At 35.8% G+C, this 27,165-nt stretch overlaps 1 protein-coding gene across 22 annotated transcripts in view; it reads left to right on the top strand.

Annotated features, from left to right (window-relative positions):
* EPS8 (EGFR pathway substrate 8, signaling adaptor) overlaps positions 1 to 27,165 on the top strand; it is a 169,255-nt gene that overhangs the window by 122,676 nt on the left and 19,414 nt on the right. For 16 of the 22 annotated variants that reach the window (NM_001413836.1, NM_001413835.1, NM_004447.6 and 13 more), the window contains 11 exons: positions 191 to 273; positions 821 to 957; positions 4,614 to 4,687; positions 5,973 to 6,099; positions 8,128 to 8,216; positions 8,560 to 8,634; positions 12,420 to 12,568; positions 15,707 to 15,890; positions 19,453 to 19,586; positions 24,883 to 24,991; positions 25,867 to 26,010. In NM_001413836.1, the coding sequence (NP_001400765.1) occupies positions 191 to 273; positions 821 to 957; positions 4,614 to 4,687; positions 5,973 to 6,099; positions 8,128 to 8,216; positions 8,560 to 8,634; positions 12,420 to 12,568; positions 15,707 to 15,890; positions 19,453 to 19,586; positions 24,883 to 24,991; positions 25,867 to 26,010 (1,305 nt within the window). Of the gene's footprint in view, positions 1 to 190; positions 274 to 820; positions 958 to 1,606; positions 1,920 to 3,906; positions 4,378 to 4,613; positions 4,688 to 5,972; positions 6,100 to 8,127; positions 8,217 to 8,559; positions 8,635 to 12,419; positions 12,569 to 15,706; positions 17,064 to 19,452; positions 19,587 to 24,882; positions 24,992 to 25,866; positions 26,011 to 27,165 lie in introns of those variants that run through there. The other 6 variants (NR_182222.1, NR_182223.1, NR_182221.1 and 3 more) reach the window with 6 other exon arrangements.

Below are 27,165 nucleotides of genomic sequence, written 5' to 3'. Positions count from 1 at the left end.
ATCTTATCATTATATAGTTCACCATTATAAAAACCACAAGAGTCATGTTTTGCAAGATTTTTATAAAAAGACTTTTTACATCAAGATACTTACTGATTCAGACAAGGAACAATCCCTTTTTCTGTTTTAAACTACATATCAAGACTCAGAAAAATCCATAAACTTTCAGGTAACTTGTGTCTCTTTGCAGGCAAACCTAATTAGTGAAGATATTGAAAGTGCAATCAGTGACAGTAAAGGAGGGAAACAGAAGAGGCGGCCCGACGCCCTGAGGTAAAAGCATTGAAAGAAATCAAGGAGTGGAATTGATTTGTTTCTAAGGCTTTTTTCCCCAAAGAGTTAGAAAAATTATTTTCTATGGAAGTATATTATTGTATTGTATAGATCATAACCTGTAGTCTCAACACATTTGTTCTCCCAAGTTTGTCAGTGTGTTTACTCCTCTTCTCTCCATATTTTTGGTCTTTCTCTGATATGGCTTCACTTGTGTTGGAAGTCACAGAGTCATGAAAGATGAGTGGCATTTTAAGAGAAGGTATCCTAGGGAAATACAAGCTAGACAGTAGGATTGTAATTGTTCCATGGCCCTTTCAAATCACATAAGACTCAGAAGGAAAATCAACCTAGTTTTCAGCTGACTATTAATTTTTTTATTTCATATGCATTCATAAATATGCATAATGTGTAATGCTTAGGAAATCCTTATTGTCCCTTGACATAGTTCTTTTTGAATTTTAATAACTAGTACCACAAGTTGAGTTAATTGATATGTTATAGAAATAGAGATGGTAAAAATTCTATTTGTTTTCATCTTTTTAAGGATGATTTCCAATGCAGACCCTAGTATACCGCCTCCACCCAGAGCTCCTGCCCCTGCGCCCCCTGGGACCGTCACCCAGGTGGATGTTAGAAGTCGAGTGGCAGCCTGGTCTGCATGGGCAGCCGACCAAGGGGACTGTGAGTCTTCCTAGAATTAATACTTATTGAACACTTACTTTGGGTTGGGACATAGTTCTTGCTTTCAAATTCTGATGCTGATTTCAGAACTGAAGCTTGAGGTTAGTTTTTAAAAAATCAACTCTGGCCGGGCGCAGTGGCTCATGCCTGTAATCCCAGTGCTTTGGGAGGCCGAGGCGGGCGGATCACCTGAGGTCAGGAGTTTGAGACCAGCATGACCAATATGATGAAACCCCGTCTCTATTAAAAATACAAAAATTAGGTGGGTGTGGTGGCATGCGCCTATAATCCTAGCTACTGGGATGGTTGAGACAGGAGAATCACTTGAACCGGGAGGCGGAGGTTGCAGTAAGCTGAGATCACGCCATTGCACCCCAGCCTGGACAACAAGACCAAAACTCCATTTCAAAAAAAAAAAAAATCAAATCTTAGATAAAATAAAGTTAAGCCTTGAATTTTGTTAAGATTATTATCTGTAAGAGTTTAGACCCACCATTTAATAAATATGGTATTAGGGTTAGAGTCTTTTTATTTTTTTAATGCTAAGAGGAAGTTTTACTTGATTGACAAAAAGATGGCAACAAAATATATACAGGTTTTTCTTAAAGATTGCACTTAACATTCTTTCCATTTTTTATTATCTAACTAGAGTCCCTTTTTGGACAAGTTTGTCATATTCATGGAAAGGTTGTCAGGACAGTGGTTGGCTGCTGGCAGTGGAGAAGGGTAAAAGGTATCCATCATATGACTGTTCTTGTCAAGTGGGCCCTATGAGCGTGGCATCATTTCACCTTGGCATTCTGTTTAAAAACAATTATAACATAGAACTTAGTGTTACTTTTTATATGTTAGAATATTTTACTAGAATCTGAAATGTTTATAACTAAAAAAATGCCTTAAAATATGTTTGGTCTAGTATCTTCATTTTAAGGACGAATAAATTGTGATTCAGCAGGCTCCAATCTGATGAACTCTAGAGCCTCATTCTTTTGCCGCTACTCCAGTGGAACTTCTTAACTTCTTATTCTTTATCCAGTAAAGTATTATTCACACAGGGTATCTGGCACTATAGTTAAACGATATAACTCATTTCCAAAAATGAGTCACCTCGGACTCTACTTTGGATGTGCAGAGTAAAAGTTGGACTCTGAAGCAAGACCTGATATGTCTACCTGTGTGGTCTTGGGAAGTTATCTCTCTGTACTTCGGTCTCATCTCTGAAATGGGGATAATAATTCATGGGTTGCTCTGAATCTGAAAGTAAATAATGTTTATGGTAGTACCTACTACAAAATAGTAAGCATAATTTGTGGTTTTCATTTTGCCAAATTGAGTTCATTTTCTTTCTGAATTGTTTTCTATTTTGTTTAGGTTTCTTGTATTCTTAAAGGTTTTTTCAGAGGTTGAAATGTAAGCCGAGCTACCAAAGATATGAAAAAAAGAATTCTTTGATGCATTTATTTAAAAAAAAATTAATTAACAGAGATATGTAGTTTAATTTTATAACAGTTTCCGTTTTCATAAGTTATGTAAATTTGTATTGATCTGCTTTGTATTTAAAATGTGTTTAAAAGACAGTAATTTATTGTATTCTATACTTTTTGTGTACTTATGGTGTTTTTGTTGTTACTGTTTCGATGAAGAGGGTCTGAAGTAGAGGAAGGATAAGACAAGTTTACAGACATTCTGAACAAACCTGTAAAAATATATGTTGAACCTAATATATATAATATATATTATGTATATTATATGTTGAACCATATATATATGTGTGTGTGTATATATATATATATATATATATATATATTATTTTTTTTTTTTTTTTTTTTTTTTTTGAGATGGAGTGTTGCTCTGTCACCCAGGCTGGAGTGCAGTGGTGCGATCTCAGCTTACTGCAACCTTTGTCTCCTGGTTCAAGCGATTCTCCTGCCTCAGCCTCCCAAGTAGCTGGGATTACAGGCGTGTGCCACCATACCTGGCTAATTTTGTATTTTTAGTAGAGATGGAGTTTCACTGTGTTAGCCAGGATTGTCTTGATCTCCTGACCTCGTGATCCTCCCGCCTCAGCCTCTGAAAGTGCTGGAATTACAGGCGTGAGCCACCATGCCCTGCTGAACCTAATATAATTTATAACAAAGACAGAATTTATCCCTAGGGGTTTCTGAGCTTTCATTAAATTTTATCTGAAATATTTTCTGCAATGTCATCTGTTTAAGTGAGATAAGGCTTTCAGAACTTCTAATTTACCACTAGCCTAAACAGAAGACTTATTATATCAGGTTTGGCCTGGGTCCAGTCCAGTTTTTAGTTGGAAAGCCCCTCAGGAGGAATATCTTTTTGGTTCCTCTGGATGCTCCAGCTGACTCAGGCTGAACTGCTTCTCCGTTGAATCCCTGAGGCATATCTACCCCTGACTTCCAAAGGTGATCTCTGTGGAATAGCGCCAGTGGCACTAGGGTTCCTAGTCGTGTTTCAGACCTGACAGAGCCCAAGAAATACCATATCTCCCCCTCACTGTGCCCTCCAAATGATATTTTTTGGGGCCTCTGTAGAGTTCCTAATAGCTATTTCAACCTCAACTTAGTACTTTCTGTGGTAGTCCACTACAACCAAGGTAGCAGCTATCTATGTGTAAAATAGTAGCTAACTGGCAAGATTTCATAGATAGAAATTTTAATTATCTTAAAGTAGTTAACAGCCGCTAATTAAGTTTCATAAGACACGATGATTTCTTCTTTCTTTTTTTTTTTTTTTTTGTTGGCAAGTGTTCCAGTTACAGGTAAAGTTAGTGTAAAGGAAGAATAGCAATACAAAGTGTCCAATTTTTTTTTGCAGTTCTCTCTATTGAACATCATGAGTCACGATGATGTATCATGAGTTGTATTTCCATTTGTGGTGTTACGTTTCTGTTGTTCCATCCATATATTTTGAAATTTATTCTACCATGAGATATCTGTAACAACTCTCTGTGTTTAGAGGCAGTATTAACTGACTCATACCAGGAAGGAGTTCATGATAATAACTTCATGATTAACATCATGCTGTAGCCAACTGAGCAACCTTAATACCCTGAATGGTCTTAAGACATTTATTTTTTAATGTGAAAATTTCTGTCTGCTTTTAAAGCATGTAGCTTAAAATTAATGAGCCCAACATTGTGGGTTTTAAGCTTAATTACACTAGAATTTTAAGAAGCACTCTGCTGTCAGAACTCCGAAAGCTTTATTGTAGTCACAGTGTTGGAATGTATAAAAATTATAGCTCTGTTGCATTAGAACTTAGTTGACCAGCTTTTGAGAAGTAAAAGCTTGACTGCTGGTTTATATTTCTGGCTTGTGTAGGAATTAAAGGGTGCTAAGTTAAGGTTGGTTCTACAGGTAGCTGACTCAGGGAAGAGAGAGAATGGGGTGATATTACAAGGTAAATTAACATCATAAAGTTGAGAGGACTAATACTTAAGCTCTGCTCAACTGCTCCTGTTAGTATTGACAAGGATGCATTTCATGGCTGATGAGCACAGTTTTGACTTGTGTATCCAGTGGAGGTGTTCCCTTTGGCAAATGGTCCTCCTTTTTAACTAATTTTTATGTTTTAATTGTCTGTATTGGTATTGTGGGAGTAAAAGATTGAAAGACTTATGATTGTCCTTTCTATAGTTGAGAAACCAAGGCAGTATCATGAGCAGGAAGAAACACCTGAGATGATGGCAGCCCGCATTGACAGAGATGTGGTAAGTACAGGAGTCGCCTTTAGATCACTGGCTTTTCTTTTAAGAGGAAAAAGAAAACTTCATAAGAAAATGAAGCTGATTTAAATAGAGATATTTTATGGAAACCATGTTTTCTGTTACCTGTGATGGCTATGCCCTTTGAATTTGCCCTTTGAATTATTTTCTCGTTAAACATTTTTGCCTTTATGCCAATATTTAGTTAGTAGACTTGGGCTATGATAGAAGAATCAGCTTATTAACTAGTTTACATTGGAACTTAGGCTGAATTATTAGATTTCAGGAATGGTACAATTTTTATTTTATTATCGTTTGTAATTCATAATTGAAATATCTTTTTAATATGTCTTCTTGGCATTTATTAACAATGTATTTTAGAATACCTAAGAGATAAAAGTTAAGTGGCATTTTTAAAGGATAGATTTGTAAATCGTAAAGCTTTTATAAAAGATAATGCTACATTTGTTTTCTTTATAGTGATTTACAGAATGAGAATGCTGTAAATGCTTTATTATAGCATTTTCATTCTTTAAATGAGATCTAGAATATGATGTTAATACATTACTTTTTATACCATATACATGTTACCAGCTTATTGAGAAACAAATACTGAAAGGAATTTGAAATTTCTAATTCAATTTTTACAGCACACTATTACATGTTATACTTAAAAGTTTAACCCCAATTTGTAGTCTTAAATTAGAAGAATGTCAAGTTTCACACATACTGGAGAAAGGCAACTAAGACTATAGTATATAAGATAATCAAATTCATTCCAGTGATCTCTGAAAGCATGGTGCATTATTCTATTTTGTCATGTGGAAACTCTTATTAATGCTTAGTATCCTAGACTAGCTATTAGGTTATCACAACAATCTGTATACCTTTAATTCCATGAAGTAATATTGTCAGTGCTTTATTGGGACATTTATCAGTAAAGCAAAAATGTCAGTGCTCTTCTAACAAAACCTATTTTAGAATTTTCCTCCTAACTGTGTGGGAGAACACTGAGAAAATTAGAGTAATTGAAAATAATAATCTGAGCAGATATTGTGAATGCTTCCTTGATGACATTGAAAATAGAGCAAAAGTAAGCTAAAGAAAAATGTAAATGTCAGAATATGGCTATAGGTATATTTAGTTTGATTCTTGTAATTAGTAATAAACTTGAAATTGGCATGTGGGCTGCTTCCTTTTCTAAAAAAACCTTTCTATTATTTACTAACAGAGTACAGCTAAGGTAAAAATAGTTTTGTTTTATATTTTATTCTATAATTTCTAATTTCAGCAAATCTTAAACCACATTTTGGATGACATTGAATTTTTTATCACAAAACTCCAAAAAGCAGCAGAAGCATTTTCTGAGCTTTCTAAAAGGAAGAAAAACAAGAAAGGTAAAAGGAAAGGACCAGGAGGTAAGTTGGATTTTCTTAATCTTCTAATGCCTGGTTAGATCTCCAGTACTGGCTGGGCGCAGTGGCTCACACCTGTAATCCCAGCACTTTGGGAGGCCGAGGCGGGTGTATCATCTAAGGTCAGGAGTTCGAGACTAGCCTGACCAATGTGATGAAACCCCGTCTCTACTAAAAATACAAAAATTAGCCGGGCATGGTGGCATGTGCCTGTAATCCCAGCTACTTGGGAGGCTGAGACAGGAGAATTGCTTGAACCTAGCAGGCGGAGGTTGCAGTGAGCTAAGATCACACCATTGCACTCCAGCCTGGAAACTCCATGTCAAAAAAAAAAAAAAAGAACTCTGGTACTAGGCAGAGTTTTGACCCTCAAGAACTACTTAGCAAAACTTCATTGACTGTGGACTAGGGTTCCTCTTCTAGTTTTGGGGTAGCACTTGAGATTTAGGCAAAGAGTAAGATGAACTCAGGGAAGAGTCCATTTTGGTTATAAGTCAGCTATAGTGAAGAAAGATCCTGGAATGTTTTACCTAAATCACAGAGACTGAGATTCAGGCAGTGACCATCTATCTGTAGTTTTCATTAGTTATTGTAAAATTAAGTATCTGTTAAAGAAAGACATAGCTCTATTCTTGTAGTTGGATTTATTCTGTTGTAAACTAGAACCATATTATTTGTTAAATAAAAGGGTTGACTTACTAAAATATTTAAAAGTTTCAACAGATTTGAATTTTTTATCACAAAACTTTAAACGGTACATTCAGGTCACATACAAAGTCACATACAGACAATTTTGAAGTATGCTGCAGTTCAGCTATTTAAAATGGCCTCAGCTATATAAAATTAAAATTATGGAAGTAATGTTTATACTTCCTCTGACAAAATGGTAGAGATTGAAAGATATAAAATAGTAAATAAATATCCCTTTCATTACAGATAACTTCCAAATCTTTCTGTAGCACATATTTGTATAATGAGCATATGACCTTTGGCTTTATCTTCTGCATGTGAATACATGGATGTGCTTCCTCTCCACATATTCTGAAATTAAGTACTATTGCTTCCTGGTATCTTAAACCACTTATTCCTTTTGAAATTCTCTATGAAAGGTATACTATCCTCTTGATCACCCAGATTCAAAACCACAGATTCTTCTGTGACTTCATTCTCTTGCTTATAGCCAACATCAATTTTATTTTCTCAACATCTCCTGTATCCAGTTTTTTCCCTTTTCATTTTCATATCTAGTTCAAGCTACTATCATTTTTTTTAACCCTGCTTTCGAAGCAGTCTTTAAGCCTCTACTTTTTCATGCTGTGAGAACAATCTTCTTAAAGCTCTCAGTCACTTCATTCTTCTGCTGTAAAGCACGCTAGTTCCATGTTCTATTGATTTAAGTACAACTGTTCGCCCTGGAAATCAAGGTTATCCACAATCTAACCTTGATCTACCCTTCCATTCTCATGTTTCTCTCCTTTTGTTTGTTGTTTCGTATACATGCAATTCCCCCTTTCCTTGTTTTTGCTTATGCTGTTTTTATCCAACCATGATGTTTTTCCCACCACATCACCCTGGACCAAACTTTTTCAAATCCCATCTTATAAGCTACTTTCTCCATCTAATACCTTTTAAGTATCCATTTCCTTATCTCCCAACCAGGTAAGTCTCTTCTCATAACGATTGGTACTTCTCTTGTTATTTATCTGATTCATGTATTTTATTAGCTTTTAAGGCCCTTAGAGCAGGGCTTGTCAGTTACTCACTTGCACAATGTCTGCCATAGAGAAAGGCTACAATGTATGTTTATGGAATTAAATGAGTAATTTGTAGTGCCTAAGGATAGAGCAATCCATTTTGAAATTTGTATCTTCTCAGTTTGTTACAGTCAGACTATGAGATGTAGCACGGTAACTAGGTAGCATGTCTGATGAGATCTTCAAACTTTACAGACATAAATGTGGTTTTTGTTTTTCCATTTAATAAATTTCCTTGGATTTTGCTCTGATCCTCTCCTCTCGCTTATTTCATTAGAGGGTGTTTTAACGCTGCGGGCAAAACCTCCACCTCCTGATGAATTTCTTGACTGTTTCCAAAAGTTTAAACACGGATTTAACCTTCTGGTAAGTGAAATTTATGTATATAGAATTAGAAGAAATAAATGGAAAAGGTGAAAATCTAGTCAGGATGTTTCTGATTAAATTAAGAAATAAAATTGTTTTTATAGATTTTGTGGGGGTGTGTATGTTTTGATTTGCCTTCAGTTAAAACAGCAAATTTTAAAACATATATATCTAAGAGACTTGATTGAAAAACAATGACTTCTATTCTCACTCTATCCATGCTAAAGAATATATTAAAACTGAATCTGGTGGTAAAGACCGTCCCCTCTGTGTCTATGTTGGACCTTTCTGAGTGTCTGTCTTGCTTGATAGTAATCTGTTTTCTGTTTTCTTCATGTTGCAGGCCAAACTGAAGTCTCATATTCAGAATCCTAGTGCTGCAGATTTGGTTCACTTTTTGTTTACTCCATTAAATATGGTGAGATTTTATTAGTTTAAGAAAGAATCGTTCTTAGTATATTTTTTAACCCCAAGTGTCTGTCTGGATTATCTAGACTGCTTTTCTTCATTACCTTGCGTGGGTACTATTTCTTTGCCATTTGTGTAAACATCAAGAATGTAAAATTTGAGAATTTAAAAGAACCCTGTAAATCATCTAGTTTAAGCACCTTATTTTATAGTTGAGGAAACTGGTATCTCTGACAGTGCTAGGGATATGAAAAGAAATAAAGATTTATTGGATACCAGTATTTCAACGTATACTAGTATATAATATCCAGTGCCTTGAATAACGTAGATGTTTTTCTCATTCTCACAAAATAATCATGAGAAGTCTAGTTCTTGATGGATGGTTTGCTCCATGAAGTCATTCAGAGACCCATGTTCTTTTTATCGAGGTGTTCCTTCATCTCTTGAACTGTCTCTGACTTGTTTATTCATTTATGCACTGGTTCTACAAATACAAATTGAGAGCCTTCTATGTGCTTGGCTTTATAGTAGCCCATCAGGAACAAAACAGACAAAAATTCTTACCTTCTTAGAACTTATATTGTAACATAGTGGGGTAGCCAATAACCTAAATAAATGTCTGCATAATACAGTAGTCTAAAAATCACGTGCTATGCAGAAAAATAGAGGAGTGAAGGAAAACTGGGAGTTCCCCAGGGGGATGCACGCATGTGTCTATGTGTGTGGGAAACGGAGTGTTGCACTTTTTGAGTAGGGTTGGTTAAAGGAAGCCTCACTGAGAAGATGTCATTGGAGTAAAGGAAGTAAGGAATGGGTCATGTGGATCCCTGAAAGAAGAGAATTCCAGACGAAGAATAGTTAACGTATAAATGTTCTGAGGTGATAACATGCAAAGCATGTTCTTGGAATAAGTAGAGCTGTGACTTCAACAGAATGAAGAAAAGATTAGAAAGAGATGATATCAGCAGGGTAACAGGAAGACACATCCTGTTGGTCTTTATAAGGGATTGGGAGACCTTTGACAACTGAAGAGTTTTCAGCAGAAAAGGATTGCCCTGGCTATAATGTTTAGAAATTTTGGGGAAGAAAAAGCTAGGGTCATTATTAAAATAATCCAGATGGGGGATTATGGTGCTTGGACCTGGTAGCATTGGAGGTGATGAGAAGTCTGATTTGGTTATAAATTTGCTGCTAGATTGGATATACTGTGCAAGAGCCAAGGATAGCTCCCAGATTTTTGGCCTAAGACTAACAGGATGGAGTGATGATTAACTAAGATGGGGAAGACTGGGTAGAGCAGGTTTTTGGAGGTTGGTGAAAAATTCAGTTTTAAACATATCAAAATTGAGTTGTATCCAGATGGGGAAATTTGAATTGATCGTTGAGTATATGAATTTGGAGTTCAATGGAGAAATCAGGCCAAGGACTGCTTGAGCCCTGGGCATTCGATGTTAGGAGAATGGGAAGAACCAGCAAGTAAGATTGACAAGAGGCAGTAAGGGAGGATAAATCTCATCCTTCTTTCCCCAGGGATAAGTAGACAAGACCTGAATTAGAATATGAAATGAGTATTGCTTTACAAACATAGGAAAGTAAGTAACATTATCAACATGAATGTCAGAAGCTAAGCAATAAGGGACTAGAAGATGAAAGTCCAAGAGTACATCAATAACTTATGAATGCTCCTATATGTTGTTGCTGTATATGGAGCATCAGATTTCTACTTGCCTAATTATTTCTGAATAATTCTTGCTCTATAAATGCTTTTAAAAAATTAGGTGGAGATCAAGGACATACATATGCAAAGAAACTGATACTAGTTCATTAACAAAATTTGTATTCCTTAGTTTTTAACATTTTTGATGCTATCTTAGAGTATTTGGAAGTATTATTTATAAAGAAGTTTTTGCTGCCTCCTCTTATTTATTTCACACACTTTCAGAGATCATATGTAGATATCTAGTCATTACACAGAATAGAGCTGTAACATAACAAGGCTGGTTTCCCTGACATATACAAATTGGTCTTTGTGATCAGGTTATGTACCTGAAAACATTGGTTTACTTGCCAATGTTTAGTATCTCTGCTTTTCTCAAAAATTACACCTTATTAATGGTCTCTCCAATCATAATATTTTGCTGGTCCATTTAATGTTCTCCCTACAGGGCCCCGGACATTTTACTTGGACGAGGGAGATGGGGAGGAACATCTATTCAGGGCCTGCTACTGGCCAGCATGATGTAGTGGCTTTACACCTGCGAGTTGCTCTCCTCTTCCCTCAGCATGGACATGTACACACGAGCGTAGCCACAGCACATGTGCCTGCGCACGTTCTTGAGAGGGAACCATGGCTCTTAACCTTTCATTTATACTTTCTTTCATTTTATTTCCTCTTCCTTCTGTTAAATCAGGTATTTTTATATTCCTCTACTCATTTTCTTTAGTTTTACTTTTCCCTCTTATTGCTACATATTTATTGGAAATGCGTTCGAGGTTGGAAGTTAAAAATTACTGTGCTAGATAGGCAGGGTAGGTTTTGTTCTCAAATAAGAGTTAGCTTTCCTCCGTTATCTGCCATCTTTTTTCATTCATTCCAGTACCACTGTATCATCTGCAGTTGAAAGTCAGATAAGTCTTAGTCCAACTCCTCAAGGAGGGGAAACTGAAAAGCCATAAATTACAGTGTAATAGTGTAATGTGTTACGAATATGCATAAATTACAGTGTAATAGTGTAGGGTGTTACTAATATGCATAAATTACAGTGTAATAGTGTAATGTGTTACTAATATGCATAAATTGTTTAGAGGACGCAGGCTGGGGAGTGGTACATCGGAGTTACACTGTGGGGTTAACACAGGCTTTCACAAGAGTTGGGACCTGAGTAGAGTTCTGAATAATGGGGGAATGGCCTTCTGGGGAACTGGGAACAGCATGTACAAATACACAGAGGCCTAGAACAGTATAGCATGCTGAGAACACCTGGATGATTGGAGCCATTCAAAAAATCTCCTATCTTCTTGTGCCGCATCTCTGAGAAGGTAAGATTTTATAAAGAGACTCTGGTTTCTGCTCTAGGAGATAACTACCATTTTTTTTTTAGCCAGAAAATAGCTCATAAGAAGTAAATTTAGAGCAGTTTTTGAACATCTACTTATCCTCATTTTGCTTATCAGAGAATTGCACCTGTTTGTTTCTGCTGTCATTAAATTATCCATATTAAATCAGAGGAATTTTCTAAAAATAATTCTGGGGAAAAGTACCATAGATTCAGAGTACCAGTTCTCATTCCTGTTTTGCCTTCCTTCCTGGATCCTTTTATTTTTTGTATGTGTGTATAGGCACAGCCATAGACTGTTAACTCTCGATAGTATTGTTTCTCTTGATAGTACTCATTTCGGGAACCGCATTTTTCAAGTTTGGCATAATAGATTTGCCAGTAGAGAAACACATATTTAAAACAACAACAACAAAACAGGGGTAGTAAAATCACCTGATCTAGAATTCTCTGCATAGCCTTTGGTATCTTCCAGAGAAACTATAGTCATATGCAGCCCATAGGCAGATGCTGTGAAAGTTGTTAAATTGTTAACTTTCATTTAGGTTTTAAAGCACTGCTGGGCTGGGCAAGTTGATTTGACAAGCTTTTCTTCATTCAGTAGCACATTGCACAGCATCAAAAGTTAATATGACTATTAAAAAGTAGTGCTTGTTTTTGCCATGGGTTTTTGTCCACACATTTTGAAAATACACAAAGAATAGTAATCTTCTTGCTAAAAAATGGTTTATTATCTTAGGTGGTGCAGGCAACAGGAGGTCCTGAACTAGCCAGTTCAGTACTTAGTCCCCTATTGAATAAGGACACAATTGATTTCTTAAATTATACTGTCAATGGTGATGAACGGCAGCTGTGGATGTCATTGGGAGGAACTTGGATGAAAGCCAGGTAAGCATTTACCACCTATAATGCCTTAAGTACCATTCTTTGTTAATTACATGGATCTAATGAGACATTTATTTAACCTTCTACATACGAAGGACTAAGCGTCATAGGATGAAAAAACCTAAACCCTTAAAGGCTAGAAGTCTAGTGGAAGAGATAGAAGTGTATGTAATATAAGGCATGATATACCTTAGGAGTGAGTCATAAACAAAATGCTGTTGGTTGGCAAGGGGGACCAGTCAGGAAGAGGATTTAGACAGGAGGGTAGTTAGCTTTCAAAGAAGAGCTGTCATTTAAAATCGACAGGTACACATAGGGTTCACACACACATACACATGCGCGCGCGCGCGCACAGTGCTTGCTAGTCCATGCACTTTACAGAACTACTCTTATTATCCCTATTTTGCAGATGAGGAAAGTAAGGCACAGAGAGGATAAGTAATTTGCCCAAGGCCACACAACTTGTAAGTGACAGAGCAGGGATGTGAACTCGTGCCATGTAGCTCTGGAGTCAGTGTTCATCATTGGTTTGCTAAACTGCCTTTTAGCAGGTTGGGTAGGATTTCCACAGTTCCATAGTAGGGCAAGGGCCTGTCCAGGTAGAGAGAGAAGCAGAAGTGAAGGCATAAGGTAGTCAAGAGAAGAAAGGATGAAGATGTGTTTCTCTGGAATATGGACTTCGGGTAGCAGATCATTGTGGAAGGGCGGGAGGCGGATGGTATTAAAATGAGCATATAGAGATGAGCATATAGAGATGAGGGCTGGATTATGCAGGCTTTCAGTGCCATGCTAAAGAGTTAGAGTGTGGTTCTGTAGGCTGTGGAGAACCAATAACTTTGTGAATAGAGGTGTGACATAATTACATCTATGTTTTAGAAAGGTCAGTCTGGTAGTTGAGGCTAGAAAGGACAAGGACAAAAGTAACTGGAGGCAGAGGCCTTTTGAGATGCTAATATCGTAGGAGAGGCTCCTTATAAATCAATTTTCTTCAGGACTAGAGAGTCACAGTGGAACTGAAAAGGAAGAGTGGGTAATTTTAAGAAATGTGCATTTGTCAATAAAGTGATTATGGAAGACAGATTATTAACAATTGTAGTACTAATGCTTGCTGAGCAAGGCAAGGTAAGAAAATATTTCTAATTTCATGATTGTAAATAAATCATTTTTGCTTTGCTTATTTATCTAAATCTTTTTCTTTATTTCACCACTTAGAATAAATCACTTAGTATGGCCACTTAGACATTTGTCTTCCTAATGCTTTTGAATGGGCTAGCTTAAGAGTCATGGGCCAATTCATAATTTTTTTTCTCCATTTTTCTCCTATTGAAACATATACAAACTTTTCCACTTATTTTCTGGACTTTGACAGTGGCTTGTGTTGGAATATAGTTAAGCAGAAAATTCTTTGAAAGCATTGCAGTTGTTGCTTTTAAATTGAAAATATTTACATTTATTTATATTATTTATGTACTAGTATAGCATAGTGTATGCTGTATAATAGTGTTCTTGTTATACTGTATAAAAACTGGTTAAATAGATCTTTTTATTTTTATAATTTTAATTGATACATTATTAATAGTTGTACATATTTTCAGGGTACATATGATAGTTTGATACATTCGTATAATGTACAAAGGTGAAATCAGGGTAATTAGGATATCCATCACCTTAAATATCTTAAATATTTATGCTAGGAACATTTGAATTTTTCTCTTCTAGCTATTTTGAAATGTACAATAGATTAGTGTTAACTATAGTCACTTTACTGATCTATCTAACACTGGGTCTTAGTTCTTCTAGTCAATGTACGTTTGTATCCATTAATCAACTTCTCTCCATCCCCCTGCAACCCTGCCTCATCCTTGTCAGCCACTAGTAAACACCAGTCTACTCTCTACCTTCATGAAATCCAGTTTTTTAGCTTCCACATATGAGTGAGCTTATTTCGCTTAATGGAATAACCTCCAGTTCCATCCATGTTGCTGCAAATGACAAGATTTCTTTCATTTTTATGGCTGAATAATATTCCATTGTAGATCACTTAAATCTATTAGATTTATATAGGTTATGATTTTATGATAAGCCTCGGTGGCATCCTTTAATTTCATGAAGTTTATTAAATTGATCAGGTCTCACATTACAAATATAGCTCAGGCTCTTTAATTTCTTTGTTTAGGGTTCTATCTTAAAATAAGAAAATTAATTAACATTCAAAAAACTACATCAAAACGAAATATATTGTTAGCTGTTAACACACGGAAAGGGTCATTTTAGATCCTGATTGTTAAGAGTATTAGGAAATGAATGTACTGACTGATTTAAAAACTCATAAAGGTAAAAAGAACCATGAAAGTCTATAACAATCTGAATAAAATGGCTGATTTCATCATAGTAGAACTATAACATGAAGAATTAAATATGAAAGATGAAGCAACATATTCTAGCAAAAATGAAGCCCTCGTTTTTGTCCTAGTTATTTTTGTGGTTCATGAATGATTAGGATCTTACAGAAATAAGTTTCACTCAGTGTCATTAAATGATGAACCCATATGATTGTGATTACAGATTAGTTTACTGATTAAAACAGAGCTGATACATTTAATTTATAAAACTGGCCATCTGTTTCAGTTTAGGGGACTTCATAAATTTAAAAATCGTAATCTTAACTTGCTGGGCTGTTTCTCTTTTGAAAGATATATCTAATACCAGGAGGTTTCAATAATGATGGGAGGGGAGTGAAGGGAAAGTTGAGAATCTGAAACTACTTTAAATGTTAGAGAAGTTTGTGCTCTAAATACTTATCACACTCCTAGCTCCATAATCCCTTCTTACACAAATTTTTAAAAACCTATATCCATGTTACAAAGTTGAGTTTAATGGAGAAATGAGGCAATGTTGGGAAAACAGATCATGCAACAGAATTCAATCTTTCTTTCATTTTATTAAGGTGTGAAATACTGGCATAAACATGTTTGCTTTTTCTTTTTGGGTGGATGGAAGACAGATTAGGTCTATGTGCTGTTTTTGTTGTTTGTTATTTATGTGTGTGTGCGTGTGTATGTCTAGCCTTACTGAAGATAACTGTGAGCATGGATACATTCCTAGATTTTATTGTTTATATGCCTTCATTCCCTCCTGCAGAGCAGAGTGGCCAAAAGAACAGTTTATTCCACCATATGTTCCACGATTCCGCAATGGCTGGGAGCCCCCAATGCTGAACTTTATGGGAGCCACAATGGAACAAGATCTTTATCAACTGGCAGAATCTGTGGCAAATGTAGCAGAACATCAGCGCAAACAGGAAATAAAAAGATTATCCACAGAGGTAGTTTTTTTTTTAACATTGCCCTCTGTAGACAGTGTAATTATCTGTGTATTCTCTTGTAATTCTGATTGCAAGTTCTCATTTTATTCAACTGAAAATTGTTCTAGAATCAAAGTCTGAATGTTACCCTGTCCTGAATTACCTCTCTCTCTTGCCTCTGTCATTTTTTGTGACAGTTGCTCTGTTCCTCCGTGAAGCCCAACCCCAACCCAAATTGCTCTCCTATAGCCTGTCAGCCCCCACCCCTCCCCTTGTTGCCACTGTTTTCCTGGCTCTGGCGATCCTAAGTCAGCTTTTTTAGGATGACTTTCTCTCCTTGTCAGGGAATTGCACTACTGCCCTTTGGCTTATTTCTTTATGTTTTCCTCTCCCATTATCAGGCCCTCAAGACAGTTCCCTGAACCTAGATCCTCTAACCTGTCTTAAGCAGCTGTTTCCTGAATTCCCCCAGTTAATTAATTTCTCTCCTTCTCTTCACGTTGCTTTGCCTCTCTTCTCCTCTGTTTGTTTTCTTTCTTCCCTTTTGCCTAGTTCTAAAACTCTGGAGTCCTATCAGCCTTGCTAGAGGGCCCAAGTTCTTCTGCACTCTAGTCCTTAGGCTCAAATGATCATTTATAAAACTACACCTTGAGGAGATCTTAACATTCATTTTATCTTTTAAGTATTTAATAATATTTAGAGTATAACCTATTTGGGAATCAAGTTGAGGGAATGAAATTGAGTATGCTGTTTTGTCACATTCCCTAAAAGTGATGTTTCTATGACTCTTCTTGTTTGTTGGAAAAGAACATTGAACATTGATTAAAGCTGGACCAAACACAAATAGGATGATCAGAACCCGAAGAGTTAGGTGAATGAGATCTAGTTTGAAGAAGAAACAGTAAATGATGACTAGATCTTCCCGAAATCCTATTATTTTTATTTAATTCCTTAGATTAATTTTCTCAGACTATCATAGGTATTTATAATGTGGCAAATATGTTATGAGGGAATGAATTGTCAAACCATGGTGTATTATATCCTGTGACTGCTTTTAAGGGGAAATGTTTATCTAAATTAAATTTTAAAAATTGTTCCCTTTGTGGACTATTCTTTGGACAATAAAAATAATATTATAGAAGTTTGGTTGAATTCCTGAAACTTTAAAAATAAAGCAAACATATTACTTTGAAATTATTTTTTCCTAATGCAATTTTTTTTTCCCTCTGGCTGTATTATAAGGGAAGAGGTGGATTCCATGCCTGTCTTTCCCTCTAAATGAATAATTAAGATGACCTCACTGCTCGGTTGGCAAGCATATACCCCTGCCTGTATTTCATAGTTCAGGCCTCATCACTGTGAATTTTCTTTCCATTTAAAGGGTAGTTTTTCTAGAGGAAAGAAAATATAATCAAACATGAAATTATGATACACTTGCTGTTGCTATAGTTACAGCTGACTATTTTTACATCATAAAAATTTCTAGCTTATAGCCTTCATACCTTAAATAAGAAAATATACTCACTTTATAATGTATGCCTCAGAAATTCACTTTTGTGATTTCGTTCTCAATTTGTGTATTTAAGAAGAGAGTAATGTGTTCTGGGCTCCCAGGATATAAGTTTGTCTACTTTCACTGAATAATTAATTTTAAAAGAGGAATTATTGAGAATCCTTACTTGTAATGAGTTATTATTTTCCTGTTATAAACTATATTTCATTTTATGGCTGAAGTAGTTATTCAGAGGTTTAAAAAAATGAAAAACACATTCTAGCAGTTCCAGGGAATTTTATGCCTTGAGATTTTGTTGGAAAAGAGGCCAAGTAATTGTGACTTAAAAAGCAAAAAAACGTAATCATCCCTAAAAGAGATACTTTATTATACTTTATTGCTACTATAATAAATGCATTTACAACAAGACTTGGGTAATTCAGGATCTGATGATTTTTGTTTAGGATTGAAAGACATAGGTGACTTGGAGTGACAAATATGGGTGGCAGTACTCAGCTTCCTTACTTCCTCTGAACCCTAAGCAAACTTTGGTAGTCATCACAGTTAGTCATTTGTCATCATTTCTCTTCTCCCTTTCAGTATTCGCAGTTGCTCTCAGGACCCAGTGATTTCCTACTGCTGACTTCACTGTTATGTTCAGAGCTGGGCAAAAGGTGTGGGTGCTTCCAACAGTTAGAGCACTCCCCTCTTTAGAACAGCCTTTAATTAAAGATTACCTAATCTAATGTAGTGCCTCTACTCTTTCCCAGGGAAATGATAAACTGAATTAATTGAGCTCAGATTTTTTTAATTTAAATGGCTGAAACTTGTTTATTTTTATTTATGTATTAATTACAGTATCCTGATAATGTCACCTGCTTTGTCCATGGATAAACTCAGCCCTCCTCCTGATCACTTTGTCATTAGAATTAACTGTGGTAACCATATGTCCAAGAATTTTCTGAAACATTCCCAGTTTCAATATTTTGCCCCAATGAATCCATAAACAAATATACAAAATCCATAATGAAAACAGCCAAGGAATTCCAGTGCTTCAGTGTCTATCATGCTTTCTCCATACCTCATTTTCATATAAAGAAACAAAGTAAAGGCTTTGGGGAGTTTTTATTTGTTTTCTCCCAATCTGAGCATGTATTCTCTATAGCAGGGGTCCCCAGTTCCTGGGTCGTGGACCAGTACTAGTGCGTGGCCTGTTGGAAACTGTGCCTCACTGCAGGAGGTGAGCAGCAGGCCTGCGAGCATTACTGCCTGAGCTCCATCTCCTGTCAGATGAGCTGCGCCTTTAGATTCTATTAGGAGGAAGAATGCTCTTGTGAACTGCACATGCAAGGGATCTAGGTTGCACGCTTCTTATGAGAATCTAATGCCTGATGATCTGAGGAGGAACAGTTTCATCCCAAAACCATCCCCATCATCCCCGGCCCTGGGGTCCATGGAAAAATTGCCTTCCATGAAACCAGTCCTGCTGCCAAAAAGGTTGGGGATTGCTGCTCTATAGCTTTAAAACTGTGGTCCTCAGTGGGACCTATGAACCTCAACTGTCACTCTTGGTAGCTCCCAGTAGTCTCCTGTCTGAATTATCTTAACTGCAAAAGAGAAGTGACTCTAGCATTCTCTTATCCTGGACTCTTGACTGTCAAGATCAGTTTAGTTGTGCCTTTCTGTGTTTCCCTTAACAGTAAATATGATAATAGTGCTGCTATTTTAAAAATATTGAAAATACTATAATGTTCTGTGTATAATTTTGAAATTGAGAAAAATGAGAAGCCGGTATAATTTTAATGCATAGGGTTCAGTTGATTTTCATGTGACAATATTTACTTTGCTAGAGTGGTGAAAGTTTCTTGAACAGAGAGAGCAAGATTACCCTTTGCACTAATGACTTTTCTTATTATAAGTAAGTATTTGACAAAAATGTGTCACTCCCATTTGATAATGTGTTAACATAATGGTCAGTCACTTGAAAATGAAAACTTATCACAATATAGTTGAGAGATCTTGTTGACTGACCTGAGTGCTGATTCAAATAGTATTTGGTGATTCTTTAATCTGCCCCACTTTGTCTTTCAGCATTCCAGTGTATCAGAGTATCATCCAGCCGATGGCTATGCGTTCAGTAGCAACATTTACACAAGAGGATCCCACCTGGACCAAGGGGAAGCTGCTGTTGCTTTTAAGCCAACTTCTAATCGCCATATAGATAGGTAACATTTAATGGGCACCCTTTGGAGAGCTGTGGATAAATGTCTCTGATCTAGTGCTAACAGAGGTGACAGTGTCTGTATTGTCTACTGCTTCTTTAAACTTTCCATCTGTTAATTAGTTGATAAAGTTTCAGTTGTTCCTTTAGAGAACTGGTTTTGATCAACAAAAGATGTCTGGACCTTCAGTCTGTAATTCCCATTTAGTGCAAATGCCTTTGGATGACTTTCCATTTTTTAAAAGATACTTCGGACAAAATGTGTACATTAAGAAGAAAGAATTGTCTTGAAACCCTCCATTAGTTTGTACCAGATGGTCTCTGAGGATCCTTCCAGTTCTGTAGCTTTTAAAGAAAACAGTTTCCATCTTTATCTTCACCCAATGAAAACAAATAAACCTTCCTTTAGACAGATATATTTAAACTGAATATAAACTAAATATTTAAACAGGGTCAATGCTTTATTAGTCATTCTTGCCATTTCATCTTTTTATCTTGACTTTCCAGTTTTACATTTCATTTATTTTTCTATATCTTCACTCTTAAAAAATTTAATATAGGCAGAGATGGAGAATTGGGATGAGAAGAAATAAAGGAACTGGAATAAGTTCTTTTTTTTTAATTTCCAATCTTGTTTTTAGTAAATGAGATCTACATAGAGCCAAGCCATGTAGAAAAGAGAAAAGGAGGTAAAATCTTGGTAACACGGTTATAGGAGAAGGGTCATTCAGTGAACTGGGAATAGAGAACTCGGCCTAGTACTTTCCTGCCTCAAAAGCCTCTCTTACCACAAGAGTTATATGCCCTTTACTTCTTTTCTGTATACTCTTTTCTTAATATAATCTGAAGAAAGTGGGATTTAAAATTTTTATTCTTTGTCAGGGGTGGTGACAGGTAATGCTTAAGTAATTGCTGTAGAAATTACACAGGTATAACTCCAAGGGCACCAGTGACATTAAATTGAGTACAAAGAAAAGTCAGCAATGAATAATATATTTTTTAAATGCCAACATATGAGAATGTTTTAATTACATAATTAATTTTCAGTAGATACAGTTGAAAATCAGTTTTGAAGCTTAAACATTATTTCATTGAAATCCTTAACTAAGTATTCATCTTAATATTTTCTTTTTTCTTTCTGTCTGTCTTAGATGTCAATATTTTAGAAATCATTTCAGATTAATAGGTTTCTTTTTGTTTTATCACTCCAGTAATTCAGATGATTTTCCACAGCTAAGTAGCTAGAAAACCACTTGAGTACATATGTAGAGTACATATTGACACTAGAAAACTTTTATCAGGTTCCATTTGAAGACCACATTTAGCATACTGTGGTCACTCAGTAAGTGTAGATTTATTTGATTGATGGATTGGATGAATAAGTGCATGAGAGTATATCTAGTATTTCAGAGTCACTACTTCCCTGTCCTTCACCTGCATATCTATAAGGGATAGTATTACTGATGGAATAACCTCTGCCATTTATTTTGGGCACCTTACCACAGAGTCTTTTAAAAGCTTACCTTGATTTTTATGATCTTTATAGAATATCAGGGCAGTATACCTTTCATTTATTGATTTAGTTATATCTTTGTACCCCTTCTGCTTCCAAAATAGATTCAGTTAGCTCACTTAAATTATATGTAGTTAAAGTGGTATTATTATTGAAAGTTAAATAATGAAATAAAATATAAAATTAAGAAGTTAAGAGGGAAGATGAGAATTTTTATAAAATATAAAAGTTGACACTATTATTGAATTTCAGATTTGTCTTTCAGATTTTTGGCTGTCAGAACAAAAAGAGAAACATAATCATTGGCTGACATTAGGAAAAGGAATAAGTATCAGTTCATCGGGATAAAAAATGCTTTTCTTACTCCTAAATTCTCAATAATATTTGTTTCATGAAACTTAATGTAGGATGGGATAGGTGATGTCAGGGACATTTATTTTTAACAATTTTTTTTCCTCACCACAGAGAAGGCTGTGGTGAATTTTATAAGGTTTCTTTTTGTAACCTTTGATAAATAGAAATTTAAATAAAATATAAAAATAGAAATTCCATGAAGGGATAATAGTCTAGAGTGGTCAGAATTTCACCATAGAAAGAATTTTTTTGAATACCTTGAGTGGTGGGTAGATTTTATATCTCAGTTGTTCTTATGGATTCTGTCTCAGCTGGACTTAATAGGAGCTAGGATAGTTGATAAATACATGAATCATTGATGTTCTATGTTGCTAAGAACATTTGTCATCATTTTGAAAAACTGTCTGAAAATTGTGGTCTGATATAAAATACACAGAGGTTTGGAATTTGTTTTTATAAATAATTATTGTTGACCTTAAACTCTATTACATACCAGGAATGCAGTAGATACTGTTAAAAGAAAAACTTCACACAAATTAAATTTAACAGTTTTTTTTTTTTTTTTTGAGACAGAGTCTTGCTCTGTCGCCCAGGCTGGAGTGCAGTGGCGCGATCTTGGCTCACTGCAAGCTCGGCCTCCCGGGTTCACGCCATTCTCCTGCCTCAACCTCCTGAGTAGCTGGGACTACAGGTGCCCGCCACCATGCCCGGCTAATTTTTTGTATGTTTTTTTAGTAGAGATGGGGTTTCACCGTGTTAGCCAGGATGGTCTCGATCTCCTGACCTCGTGATCTGCCCGCTTCGGCCTCCCAAAGTGCTGGGATTACAGGCGTGAGCCACCACGCCTGGCAAATTTAACAGTTTAATTGAACAAGGGGAAAAAAAAGTGGCACATGAATTGGGCAGCCCCCAGAATCACAGCAGATTCAGAGAGACTCCAGAGATGCCTCATGGTCAGAGCAAATTTATAGACAAAAAAAGGAAAGTGACGTACAGAAAACGGACGTGAGGTATAGAAACAGCTGGATTGGTTACAGCTTGGCATTTGCACACAATTTGAACAGTCAGCAGCCTGTGAGTGCTTGAAGTATGGCTGCTGGGATTGGCTGAGACTCAGCTATTGTTACAGAAGCATACTCCTAAATTGGGTTTTCAATGTGTCTACCTACTAAATTAGGTTATGATTCGTCCACAGGACTCAAGTATGGAAGTATAGAGGGTTTCTCAGAACATATTTAGCTTAACAATGCCATACGAAGTATATTCACTGTTCTGTGAAATTGCTATGCCATTAGGTAGAACATTTGTTGAATTTAGAGCCCACGCCTTCGAGTTTTATAGCTTACTGCTGTCAGATGCAATTAGTATTTTAGAGAAGTTCTCAAATTACTGCTGTCTCTATGTCTGCTCTCTATCAAGTGGCGTATCTATTATTCCTAATCAGAAACTGAGCCCATACGTTTTGTTACATTCCATAGCTGTTAAGAAACTTTGGTACCTCTTTTTTTTTTTTTTTTTTTTTTCGAGACAGAGTTTTGCTCTTGTCGCCCAGGCTGGAGTGCAATGGCACGATATCGGCCTACTGCACCCTCTGCCTCCCTGTTTCAAGCGATTCTGCCACCTCAGCCTCCTGAGTAGCTGGGATTACAGGCATGTGCCACCGTGCCCAGCTAATTTTGTATTTTTAGTAGAGATGGGGTTTCACGATATTGGACAGGCTGGTCTCAAACTCCTGACCTCAGGTGATCCGCCCTCCTCGGCCTCCCAAAGTGCTAGGATTACGGGCATGAACCACCACGCCTGGCCAAGAAAGTCTGGCATCTCTGAAAAATTACAAATTGTGATTGTCTGTTTGATAACTATGGTCAGTGTCATATCCATGCTTAACATATAGAGGGCAAAAAACTGTGAGCCATAAAGATTTGTAAATTCTGAAGCACTTCAGGTAAACACTTCTGAGACCTGCAAGATAACAAAAAATTTGTTATAGACCCTTAACTCTCCATTATTAATAGTGATTATCTTGCAGATCATAGGAGAAAGGAAAATAGGGGAAGAGAGGAAGATAAAACACTAAAATTACTGTTTTCCTAATGTTTGGGGTAGTTGAATCTCTTTTATCTGCCAAATGAAATCTTAGTAGATTAAATGTGAATATATAAAGTAAATGAAAGCAGAGCTATTCCAGTAGGGATAGGGATGGGAAATCCATGGAACACAGTTTTAAAATTATTATTATTAATAACATAATTACTTCACCATAATTTCACCTTTTCCACCAATTTTCTTTTTAATGTGCTAAAAATAGCCAATAAGCTGTTCTTACATGCTTATCTGTAAGGTGTTCTATACTGGTCATCTTTTTGCTTTGTCCCTGTCTCCCTCCTCCAATGGAGTTACTACCTAAGAGGTAACAAAAACCTATGACAGGATACATTATGTCTACAACTGTCCTGCAGGCCCTGGTATAACATTCCAGAGAACTTGGTAGACAGCAAAAAGAATGGCAACTTTACAGGGGTAGGATGACCTAACATCTTTAGTCTCTACCTGCTATTTCCCTTGTAGAGATGTGTAAATAAATGTGGGAATGTAAATGGAGGAGAAGACTAGGGAGTAAAATTAATAAAGGGTTAAAGTAATTTTATTATTGAAATATATGAAGAAAATACAAATATTTAATGCATCAAGTGTATTATGTTACATATAAAAGTAATCTTTAGTTAAGTTGTTAAATCTATTAGTACTCATTTAATGATTAGAAGAGGTATTTGGTTTTTTAAGGAAGTTTTATTTTAAAAAAATGAGGCCCATACACTTTTTAAAAGTTTATAGTGAATTAAATTATTTACTTACTTATTTGCAAGTGTTACTAGTCTCATACTTAATGCATATCTCTTTTTTTTGCAATTTAGATAACTGGGCAAAGTGTTTCTAAAAACTAATGCCTAGTTATAAATTTTAAATTTATATATTTGGTTACTGAATTGCAGACATTGCTTGAATTAGTGAAATCAACATATAACTAAAATTACCACTATGGAAATTATCTTCAGTCTCCTTTAACTTTATGAAAAATACTAACATTTATCTTTATCTAGTTCTTTTATGGTAGAGATGGTAATTAACATAATATCCAGTATGTGTATTTAGTAGACAAAGAATTCATAGACTTGGATTCTGGATTTGGCTAAGTACCACCTGGCCTTGTGATTTTGCATTATTTGTTTTTATCCCTGGCCATAATTTGTTCATTTTAAAAGCAAGAACTTTAAAGTAACTTTTATTTATCATAATGTAAAATATAATAAAATGAAACTGCTGTAATTTTTCAGAAAGTTTTCTGGTAGGATTTGGCTTGTCTCAGTGTTTTCCATTTTTATCCTTTAGGAAGAGCTAGCAGAATAATAATCTTTTTTCTTTCTTTTTATAGAAATTATGAACCACTCAAAACACAACCCAAGAAATATGCCAAATCCAAGTATGACTTTGTAGCAAGGAACAACAGTGAGCTCTCGGTTCTAAAGGATGATATTTTAGAGGTAATATAATTTTTTCTTTTTTATACTCTTAATAAAGTAGTTTTATTGTATTACTCTTTTGGTATATAACTAAACTTTCCTTCAAAAGTATTATATTACTAAAGACGTAGTATATTAGAAATATCTACATCTATTTAGTAGGGGTATATAGATACTCCTTCTAAGGGGATAGCTTTAGAATACTCCTTTATTTGTTTTTTGTGGGGAGTGGCAGGGTGGGTTTTTTTTTAACTTCCTTTGCTCTCTTCCTTGCCCTCTTTCTTCTTCTGATATTTATTCATTTTGGAGTCAAGACTAGTTAACAATTCAGATGTGGATGCACATAATAGTTCAATAAGAGACAACATTCTTTTTTTAATCCTATATCCTTGCACAGATATACTCAGCAGTCATTGAGCTAATAATGTTAGGGATAATCCACCACAACACCAACTTCTCTTTGTTAGATTCTAATTGACAGTTCATCTTCTTGAATATATAAGGTGAATTATCACAATAAATTTTGTAAGGAAAAAAAGTAATTTTTATATACTTTTTCTTTCTATCACCAAAATGGAGACAATGGGGCTTTCCAAAAGAGTCATTTTAGTCCTTAAGTCCTTTAAGTACTTTAGTCCTTAAGTACTTCAAATAATGCAGGCTGTTCTTTGGAGGTAAAATGGACCTTGGGTAGATTCACCATAATGATACCTTACCTACTGTATACTCATAAATGTCTTCTTAGTGTAATTCCTGAGAATCATTCAATCAACACTATGTTGATGCTGAGTTAATTATCAGAAGTAGAAAAATTTTCTTTGTTGAAGTCTAGGGAACTTCTTTCGTAGAATGGCTTTTATATGGAAATTATACCTTTATTTTCTTGTACATGACAGATACTTGATGATCGGAAGCAATGGTGGAAAGTTCGAAATGCAAGTGGAGACTCTGGATTTGTGCCAAATAACATTTTGGATATTGTGAGACCTCCAGAATCTGGATTGGGGCGTGCTGATCCACCTTATACTCATACTATACAGGTGAGCATGATTTCTTAGTAAAATGTAGTATGTACACATTTACGAAGTTATCACTCTTAAGTAGGATTTAAACACCTTTGTGTATTGATCATTTTGAGATGTAGTTGGTTATATATTTTTTCTAGAGTAATTGGTGGGGGAGTGGCAATGGTGAGAGACACAGGGAAGAATTACACATATGTTTTCTGATTTACTTCTAGAAATTGTTCAAGATGTTTAGCAGTAGGTACCTGATTCTCTGAATGCTTTTTTTCCCCAATCTGTAGTATTTCTGACATTTGAAGAAATGGTATTTCTGTCTTTTTACCCACAGCTCTGCTATCCACCAGGGGCTTCCTCTTGATAGAGGATGGCACTGATATCACGGCATGGTGTCCAGCAGTTCACCTTCACCAGCCCTTGCTTTCAGTCTCTTAAATGTTCTGCCACTGACCAGCCTTGAACTTGCACTCATCTCACCTTACACTAATACATGAGTACCTGTTCACCTGGATTACAATATTTTTCCTCTCTTGATTTTAAGATTAAAAGGTACTTAGGATATAGATTAGATAGGTCAGGCTCTCTCTTCTTGTTCATTGAAGGCCCATGAAGGTCCATTCTTATGGCCCATGCCACATTTTCAGGATTTCAGTGACCCTGGTCAGCTCATTCACCCTAACATCTGAATTAACTTGCTCTTAAACTCCGGAATTTTAGACCTGTGCCAGGCTCTCTAGAGTTAGGTCTGTAAACAAAGACAGAATGGATGGACTCTCTCAGGTACAGCCAGTGAACCTGGGGTGGCTTCTCATTCCCCCAGAAAGAACTCTTTTAATTTTCAAAGTCTCGAGAAAAAGATCACATCTGACCTCATAATAATGTCATGAATTTGAGTAGAAGCTGCGTAGAATATGCAGTGAAATAGTTAATTTTTATGCCAGATCTAGGCTTAAAAAAATACAGATTGTCCAAAGCTGGAATTGTGGTCATACTTCTGCTGCCGTGACAATTTATTTCAGTACTTTTGGCTCCTCATGACATTCATGCCTGGTGTCAGTCCTGTGCTTATCCAGAGGGACTTGGCCTTACTAGAATCCATGAATCAAGCAAACATTCAAAATAAAGAATTTGTGTATAGTTTCTCTATCTCGGTAACTTAAAGTGATGGCAATG

The sequence above is a fragment of the Homo sapiens genome, chromosome 12, assembly GCF_000001405.40.
Source record: "Homo sapiens chromosome 12, GRCh38.p14 Primary Assembly".
Taxonomy (NCBI): Eukaryota; Metazoa; Chordata; class Mammalia; order Primates; family Hominidae; genus Homo; species Homo sapiens.
This window is presented reverse-complemented; position numbering and strand designations above follow the sequence as displayed.